We start from the raw sequence: 9,388 nt of genomic DNA, 5'->3' as shown, positions 1-9,388 counted from the left end.
CATCTGTACTGAACATGTCTGTACTGTTTTGCTTGTCATTATTTTCTAAACAATACAGTATAACAACTATTTACATGGCATTTACATTGTATTAGGGATTATAAGTAATCTAGAGGTGATTTAAAGTATATGGGAGTCTCTTATATCCCAGGAAGCCAGGTAAAAAAAAAAAGTATATGGGAGGCTATGCATAGGTGATATGCAAATATTACACCACTTTATATCACGGACTTTTGAGCATCTGTGGATTTTGGTATCCGAGGGGTGTCCTGGAACCAGTTCCCCAGGGATACTGAAGTATGTCTGTCTATCTCATACTATATTTTTCCCTTTGTCTTAGGTAGACTATCAGCTCCATAGGGGCAAGGATTTAATAATATTTGTATATTCATTTTATTCAAGTTCGTATACACTGCTTGGGTCATAATATTTATTACATGCTTGAGAAAATGAATTTCTTCGCCCCTTTGTTACAGCTCTGAGTAAACAGCCATCTGCCTTCTCTGTCATCTGTTGGTGGTTGAGTATTTCTGTAGAAAGTTACCCATTGGCCTCAGGACTCTTACTCTAAATCTTCTTCTTAGGCAGTTTTCTCTGTGCATGAAGTTTTTATGTAAACAAATAGATGAAGCCTGCCCTACTCATTTATTTGCTCAAGCCAGAAAGTCACCTTCTTCTTCACTTTCCATATTTAAATCATCATTTGGTGGAATTTTGGCCTAAGCAACTCTTGAATTCACGTACTTTTCCCTGTCATCGCCAGTGTGGTGTAGAAGCCTCTGTCACCCCTTGTCGGGATGCTGTGCTGCAGCATCATCTAACCTGGTTGCAGTTATTCTTTCACTCCCTCACCGCACACCCTTTTACTTAAAACACTAAAAGTGGCTTCTCATTGTTCTTAAGATAAAGCACAAATTGTTAGTGTGGCCTGTAAAGCTTTGCATAGCCTGACAGAGAATGTCCTGCTAATAATTTGAAGGTACAGGATGATTTTAATACTTTAGGAGAAAATGTTCTAGGAAAAGACGCTTGTTTAGACTTAAGGTGAGGACTCTGCAGTATGAATTAGACATCTGGTGAACTATAAGCTGTCCCCGCATTTAAACATAATTGGTTCTGAGAGCCTGCAACTAAAGATAAGGCAGAAGAATTTACTTTGCATTTCCTGCATTCCTCTTTTCGCTTGATAGCAGAAACCCCTCATGTTAATAAAGGTGGCACAAGAGGCAAAAATACAGACTTTATCACAGTGTTTAAGGAGAGGTGCATGATTAAGTGTGTGGGGAGAGAGTACCTTTGTACATTTTATTATATGGTGAACTGTATGTTTTCTACTTTTAGTACTGTTTGTAAATTTTACTTCTTCTTGGATTTACCTTTTTCAGTTATATTATTCCATTATGCCTTGCTACTGTAACAGCTAATGATGAAAAACAGGATCTGTCTTTATATTTTCTTCCCTCCACAAATGTGGATCTCATAGAGTTGAAAACTAGGTTGTGATATAGTATAGTATACCTAATTCCTGTAATGGGATCATGTTCCTATAATATGGCCGCAATTTAGTGTAGAATTTTTGTAAATAAAAGTGTATTTTAAGTTTAACTTAAACTTTCAATGAAGTGTTTTAAGGATTTAACCATGCAGCACAAATGAGCACCTTTCTGTAAATGCCAACAGTGTAATATGTGTCATTTCTTCACTGATTGTTAGTTTGCTGCGGATTAAAACACAGGTGATCATATTCAGGCTGGTTAGATTAGTGATTTTAATATGAAACCATTGCTTTTAGAATAATCATGGGCCAGACTGGGAAGAAATCTGAGAAGGGACCAGTTTGTTGGCGGAAGCGTGTAAAATCAGAGTACATGCGACTGAGACAGCTCAAGAGGTTCAGACGAGCTGATGAAGTAAAGGTATAATTTTATCTTTTGTGAAAATGAATATACAATTAAGGATAGGTTTTTTCCCCTCCTAAGTTCAATAAGTTTTTATTTAAAATAATTCTAGCCAAGTTTGTATTTACAATAAGATGAGTGAATACTTGGAAGCTTAGGTTCTTGATCTGTCTTAACATTATACCATGCACATTAATCAGTCTTTGTTTAGTATACTTTTATTTGCATATGCAGCTGCAGAAATGCCTCCCTAAATATAAAGGGATGCATTTCATGATTTTATGTTTCTAAAGTCATTGTGATTAAAAAAAAAAATACACACACACACACACACACACACACACACACACACACACACACAGTCAACAAAGAAAGGATGGCAATCGTTTCCTGTTCTCTAACCACTTGCAATAAAATAACAGATGTGGTGTTTTTGTATTATTTGAATGTGGGAAACTATAGTGTAAAATCTATATGCACCTAAGAAAATGTTCTTGATATTTTTGAGGATACACTAGATTTTTAACCTGCTTTACAGGTGTTATACATTTTCTAACAATGAACAATTTCTCCTTTCCTCTCCTTCATTTTTTTTTTTAAGAGTATGTTTAGTTCCAATCGTCAGAAAATTTTGGAAAGAACGGAAATCTTAAACCAAGAATGGAAACAGCGAAGGATACAGCCTGTGCACATCCTGACTTCTGTGAGCTCATTGCGCGGGACTAGGGAGGTTGGTTAACATAACATGTTGTAGTAATTATCATCATCTTTTGGTTTATGCTATTGGAACATTTGTTTGGTTATTGGGAGGAAATCATTGACCTCAGGGTGTCCATCTTTTTATTGCTATTTCTTTTTAATGTGCAACTGTTAATGACTGCTGTAGATCACACTATTAGCTATTCCTATAACAGAGTTCTAAGTGTTTGGAATATACTTTGAACTAGGTAGATGCCTAGATTTTATAAGAATGTTGATTTAAAAAAAAAAGCTTTTAAATCAAATACTCTTTAATGTCCTCATCAGATCACTATTTAGAGCAAGGTTTTCTGACTCACTGTTGTAACCCCAATTTGAATTAGCCATGTGGTAAGAAATGTTTTAATATTCATGGACAAGAAAGCTTTTTATTATATATTTTGTTCAAAGGCTAAGCCTCTCTATAAGAATTTTTAAATTTCTTGTTGAGAGATTGGAATTTCTTTTTCTATAGTACTTTCTGAACGAGCTAGCTCTTAATTACTCCAAGAGTTTCCTATTTTCAAAGAAAGGCAGTAAATCTATGGTAGAATCTATAATTAAATATCCCGTTAAAACATGATTGCAGCAAGATGAGAAGAAAATGGCAAAAGTCTAAATAGCTTAGGCATTTCTGTTTTTAAGTGCCTGTGTTGTATAGAAAGACATGGCATAGGATATTTAAAGGGGAGTTGAAGCAAAAGGGGAAAGAGCGAGTTGGAATTAAAATTGCACTATGTAGTAGATTGTTTATCTGAATGTCTAAATATGGGAAGCACCTAAACAATGGAATTTGTTTTAAGATAATTTTTCAACGAGTAGCCATTTTTAATATAACATTATTGTAACAAGCAACAATTTGCTATTGTATGAGGCCTTCTGGAGATTGTGTGACATATGAGCTTCAAAGACTTGTCAGTGATATCCCAGTAGCAACAGACATAATCCTAATGCAGATTTTAGTGATATTCTGGTGGTCTTGATGGTGACACTTGGAATGATTCTTAGTCATTTATGCGTTTTGTTAGGTGACACCTCTGTAAAGCTCTGACTTATAATTGTATAAATATTGATTATACAGTGACACTTTCCTCCTCATCTGGTACAGGCCAGAGCCTAGATGTTAGAGGTCAGTGGCATGGGGGAAAGGGATTCTTTTTGATGCCCATCAGAACGTTCTTAAAGGGAATAAGGATGGGGCTTTTAAGTAATTGCTTTGAAAGTTTTTATTTGGTGACCTTTTAGAAATGTTGAATTGAAAGAAAAACCTCATTTTCTCTCTGGAGGAATAAATCTTAGAAATTTGGAGAAATTAGGTAGATTCACATGGAAAACTTATTTTTGCCACCCATTATGAATCTCAGAATGCTATCAAAAGCCTAACTTAGGTTTATAATAAAAGTCAACAGCAATAATGAATTGTGTCACTGTGCTAGGTACTTTGTACACATTACCTCTTTTAATCTTCATGATAAGGAAGGAGTATTACACTTTTTTTTTTTTAATCCAGGCAAGGAAACTGAGCCTTAGAAGCATTTAGTCAGTTTGCCTGCTCTAATGATCTGATGTGGGCCCAGAAGAGCACACTTTGCTCAGACACATGAAGTATTAGTGAAGTACATTATTGACATACAACTTGAATTGCTCATAGTATATTTGGCATTAAATTTAAGAGTATTGTTTGTTCAAGTGGATATTTACTAATTGAAATTTTCTTTTAATTTTGTCAAATGGAGACAAATCGTTGAATATAAAGATACCTAATGTTCGTGAGTTTATGTGAAAAATTGGGAGAAGAAATCAGCATTTTAATAAAACAAAATTGTTTTCTAAAGTTAGTACTTCCACAGTACCACACACACACGCAGATTGAGAATAAACATTTTCACAGAGTATGGGGGAAAAGGAGGAAAATAATCCCCAGCCTTAGGAATCCAGTTTTTGTTGCATAGAACTCTGACCTGATTAAGGTCAGTCATTTTTTTTGTTGCTGGTGTTGGTAGCTGATCCTGCTTCAGATGATCCATCTATTATTTCCCCTTTCCGCCTTTTTAAACCATCACCACTGACTTTTAGAAGCCAGAGTTTATATCGTTTGTGATAAGCTTCTTGGTGTTATCACAATAAATCGTAAAGCTTTAGGGCTAAAAAGGACTGTAGTGGTCTCATGGTCCAACCTCCTGACTTTTCAGATGAGAATATATCCCTGTTTATTTTTTCTTTCGTTTAAGCATTTCCATCTACATATTATTTCTTTTATATATTTGAAAGATTCTAGTCTGAAGTAGGTCAGGTAGGGAGGAGAAAATAAAAGTGATTCTTGTTTGGCAAAGACTTTCCTAGTGGTAGGCTTGGCAGAATTTCAGACTGCAGTATTGATTCAAACACGTAAAGTCTATAGCATTCAACATTTGAAGTGCCATTATAGCATTGTTTTAATTAACTGCTTGCTTTTATAAGCTAATTATATGTAAGTGCTGGTGTCTTCAATTTAAATCCTCTGCAGCATGACAAATCAATGACAATTTTTAGTTCTTTTGTCAGGTCTTAAACTTATACTCCCATTTGGCCGGGCGCGGTGGCTCACGCCTGTAATCCCAGCACTTTGGGAGGCCGAGGCGGGCGGATCACGAGGTCAGGAGATCGAGACCATCCTGGCTAACAAGGTGAAACCCCGTCTCTACTAAAAATACAAAAAATTAGCCGGGCGTGGTAGCGGGCGCCTGTAGTCCCAGCTACTGGGGAGGCTGAGGCAGGAGAATGGCGTGAACCTGGGAGGCGGAGCTTGCAGTGAGCCGAGATCGCGCCACTGCACTCCAGCCTGGGCGACAGAGCGAGACGCTGTCTCAAAAAAAAAAAAAAAAAAAAAAAAAAAAAACTTATACTCCCATTTGTAGTTGTAGAAGTGGATATACTCAGTTTGAAAATGACTGATTTTCTCCAAGTTATTTTGGTAAAGAATGTCGGACAAAAGTTTACTGAAGTGAGTGCTTTAGATGCTGACTTCAGGTCAGGGAGCTCTGCATTTGAACCCAAAGACCACATCTCCAGTATGTGGTTTTCTTACTGTGTGTGGTTTTGTTTTGTTTTTGTGACAGGGTCTTGCTCTGTTGCCTAGGCTGGAGTGCAGTGGTACAATCACAGCAGCCTTGACCTCCCAGGCTCAGGCGATCCTCTCACCTCAGCCTCCTGAGTAGCTAGGACTACAGTCACACGCCACCACATCGGGCTAATTTTTTTTTTTTTTTTTTTTGAGACGGAGTTTCGTTCTTGTTGCCCAGGCTGGAGTGCAATGGTGCAGTCTCGGCTCACTGCAACCTCTGCCTCCCAGGTTCAAGCGATTATCCTGCCTCAGCCTCCTGAGTAGCTGGGATTACAGGCATATGCCACCACGCCCGGCTAGTTTTTGTATTTTTAGTAGAGATGGGGTTTCATCATTTTGGTCAGGCTGGTCTCGAACTCCTGACCTCAGGTGATCCACCCACCTTGGCCTCCCAAAGTGCTGGGATTACAAGTGTGAGCCACCGAGCACATCGGGCTAATTTTTTTGTATTATTTTGTAGAGACAGGGTCATACCATGTTTTCCAGGCTGGTCTCGAACTCCTGGGCTCAAGCAATCCATCTGCCTTGGCCTCCCAAAGTACTGGGATTACAGGTGTGAGTCACCATACCCGTCCCTTAATGTGTTTTTAAGATACTTTAGGGCAACTCTTTTTTTTTTGTTTTTGAGATTATAGAACCTAAGCATTATTGTTCATAGAATTTTAATACAGAATGTGTTTACTTTTAAAAAACACTTCTGACTTTTTGAAGACAGTGACTATATCTGTTTTACGTTTATTTCTTTTATTCTTAAGTTAATCTTTTAAAGAAGCATCCAGCTTCACACTGTCATTAATCAATACATATAGGTCAAGGGATGTACATTTTATTCCCATAATATGTCACTGTTAGTCAAGAAATTGTTACTAGGTGACTTTCATAACTTTGTCTTGTCAACCAGTAATAACTATGTTCTGTAGGTCTTCATATTGGTAGTTATATTCTTCATTGTGTCTCTTTTTCCATTTTTAATGAAGAAACTGGTTTAAGAGTTACTCTTGAGGTTCTCATTAATGTATTTCTTTTTCGTACATCTGCCCATTTCTTGCTGATAATCACAAGACACTTCTCCTTCACTGACTTCATATCAAAATGTTTTCTACTGTATGTGTTATGACTGAAAGAGAAGTTTGCTTAGATAGTGCCTGTCTTCTGGGCAAATGGTATGATTAGTTTAGTAATTTAATCCATCTTGCCAATATACATTTCTAGATTCCCAGGAGAATATAATGTTCTTGTAAGAGTTTTGTATCTTGTTTACTAATGAAAAGAGAGAATATGGTGTATATTCTTGGGGCTTCAGAATGTCTAATAGAAGCAGCATCAGAAGGGGATCACGGTCCTCGTATGAAGAATTTAAAAACTTTTGGACTTTTAAATATTTACAGATTTGCTCTTCATAGTAATATTTGAAATGATTTTAAGTTCATTGCTTAGCATTTGATATTAGCAGATTTTTTTGGGGGGAGAAGCTTCTATCAAAATAATGTGTAAATTATTTTGTATGTTGGCAGTTTGGACTTAACATTTTTGTTGAAGGAGAAGAAAAATACCTGTTACATGTAAACACTCGATTGCATTTTTTATTGATTTAGTAATGAAGTTCCTTCAGTTAATTGTAAATGAAAATTTAGTCACTGTTTACAAAGAAAAAATAATATCCTAGTGTATTTCATGTATAATTTAGTGTACTTTACTCAGATACATTCTTTGAGTGTAGTAACATGGTTTCTTTATACATTGCAGGATTATAGGCCCTATAGGTTTAGATTCTCATGAACCTTTTGAGCAAATATGGCAGAAAGCTGGTCACTTTTCTCATGTCTTTAAATTAAGTGGATGGCTCTTCAAGTGTCTGTCTTACTCTTAGTCTGAACATATACACTCATTCTTATTGCCTCAAGGAAGTGGTCTCTGAGTTGCTTTCTGTAGCTCCTTGCCTCTTTTAACTATTATTGGTATTTACTTGGAGAGTTGAGTCTTGTTAGGTTAACTGTCAGTCATTCCCACCTGTATAACTTGTAAATCCATGCAGCCTTTGCTTTCTTTCTGGCTTTATTTAGGCTGAAATAGATGTAACATTTCTTAAATGATCATATAAGGATTTTTTTTTTCTTGTGAGCAGAAACTAATATAAGCATTTTATGCTTTTCCAAAGGGTTAGCTTAAAAAAAAAAGGTCATTTGTGATATTTGAGTTCATATAGCATCATATATTAAATACATGTCATTTATTATGTTTATATTTTAAATTTGATTATATATCTTCAGTTTAAAAGGTGAATTTTAAAAAGTCAAATTTAGGCAACTAATAAAACTAGCAGAAGTTGCTTTTCATTTGTAGTTTTTCTCCTAGAATATTGTATATATAGTTTGTGTTTTATAAATTATTGTTATAAAGATCATGTATCTTCCCCAAATGCAAAACCGAGTTCTGACAACTATTTAAAAATAAAACAACAAATCCAAACAAACAAAAGTGCTTGGTTAATCTGGAATGTTAGAAATTGTTTTATTCTCTGAAGAAACAAGAAAATTGCATTAGACCGAGGACTTTTGCCATAATTTAGCTTTATAATAGGGATTGACTTAAATTTACTCCTTAGGATTCTGTCTTACCTTCTCTTAGCAGATTTTATAAAAGAATATCACTTGAGTAACATTTTGGAAAGGCTGGGCAGATTTCATAAGCTACCCAACAAGGCAGTTTTATACTAGCTAATGTGACTACCTGTTGGGCTAATGAAACTAGTTTAAAAGTTTTATCTTTTTCTCTCCACTGAACAGATCATTGTAAAATGATTATTGTAAAAATTTAGATAACACAGAAATAGGTAAAACAGAAAGCAAAAGTCCCTGTAGTCCAACTGCTCTGGCTTTTATTCTTTCAGATTTCATTTTCTATATATACTAGGAGGTTAATAATATTTTATTTTTAAAAATTATTGGCCAGATATACATCCTTTCCATTTTGGGCCATCACTTTACAACCTCTGTCCAAATTTTCATTCTTTTAAAAAATATGTAGTGTTTGACATTATGGATATACCATAATTTATTGCCCCATTCTTGATGGACATTTAGATTTTTAATTTTTACTTTTGCAATCAGTGCTGTACTGAACTTTATATACATCCTTGCATCTTTTGAGTAATTCTGTAGAAGTTCCTACAAATAGAATTATTAGATCAAGATGATATGCATGTTTAAAAATTTAGCAGATATTACCAAATGCACCCTCAAAAGTTTTACATTACACCCCCACCAGCTGTTTATGGAATGTCTGTTTACCTATATTCTCAACACAATATTATCAATCTTAATCTTCAGTCCAATAGGTAAAACATTGTTAGAATTGGTTATACCGTGTCTTAATTATTCAGTGAAGTTAAATGTCAGTTACTGTTTGTTTATATTTGTGAATTGGCTGTTACAGTGTTGGATCTTGTGCAATTAGGTTGGGCTTTTCTTATGATTCATAAGGACTTTTTGTATATTACAAATACTAGTTTTGGCTGGGTGCAGTGGCTCACGCCTGTAATCCCAGCACTTTGGGAGGCCAAGGTGGGCAGACCTTTTGAGATCAGGAATTCTAGACCACCCTGACCAACATGGTGAAAGCCCATCTTTACTAAAAATACAAAAAAATT

General features: G+C 35.5%; 1 protein-coding gene across 43 annotated transcripts in view; it reads left to right on the top strand.

Moving 5' to 3' along the window:
* Positions 1–9,388, top strand: part of EZH2 (enhancer of zeste 2 polycomb repressive complex 2 subunit) — a 76,909-nt gene that overhangs the window by 35,194 nt on the left and 32,327 nt on the right. For 25 of the 43 annotated variants that reach the window (XM_047420004.1, NM_152998.3, XM_011515894.3 and 22 more), the window contains 2 exons: positions 1,793–1,916; positions 2,500–2,628. In XM_047420004.1, coding sequence (XP_047275960.1) covers positions 1,800–1,916; positions 2,500–2,628 — 246 coding nt within the window. In that variant the 5' untranslated portion in view covers positions 1,793–1,799. Of the gene's footprint in view, positions 1–1,792; positions 1,917–2,499; positions 2,629–9,388 lie in introns of those variants that run through there. The other 18 variants (XM_047420002.1, XM_017011820.3, NM_001203248.2 and 15 more) reach the window with 4 other exon arrangements.

This window comes from Homo sapiens, chromosome 7 (assembly GCF_000001405.40).
Source record: "Homo sapiens chromosome 7, GRCh38.p14 Primary Assembly".
NCBI lineage: Eukaryota > Metazoa > Chordata > Mammalia > Primates > Hominidae > Homo > Homo sapiens.
The sequence above is the reverse complement of the archived record's forward strand: the minus strand, read 5'-3'. Positions and strand labels throughout refer to the sequence as shown.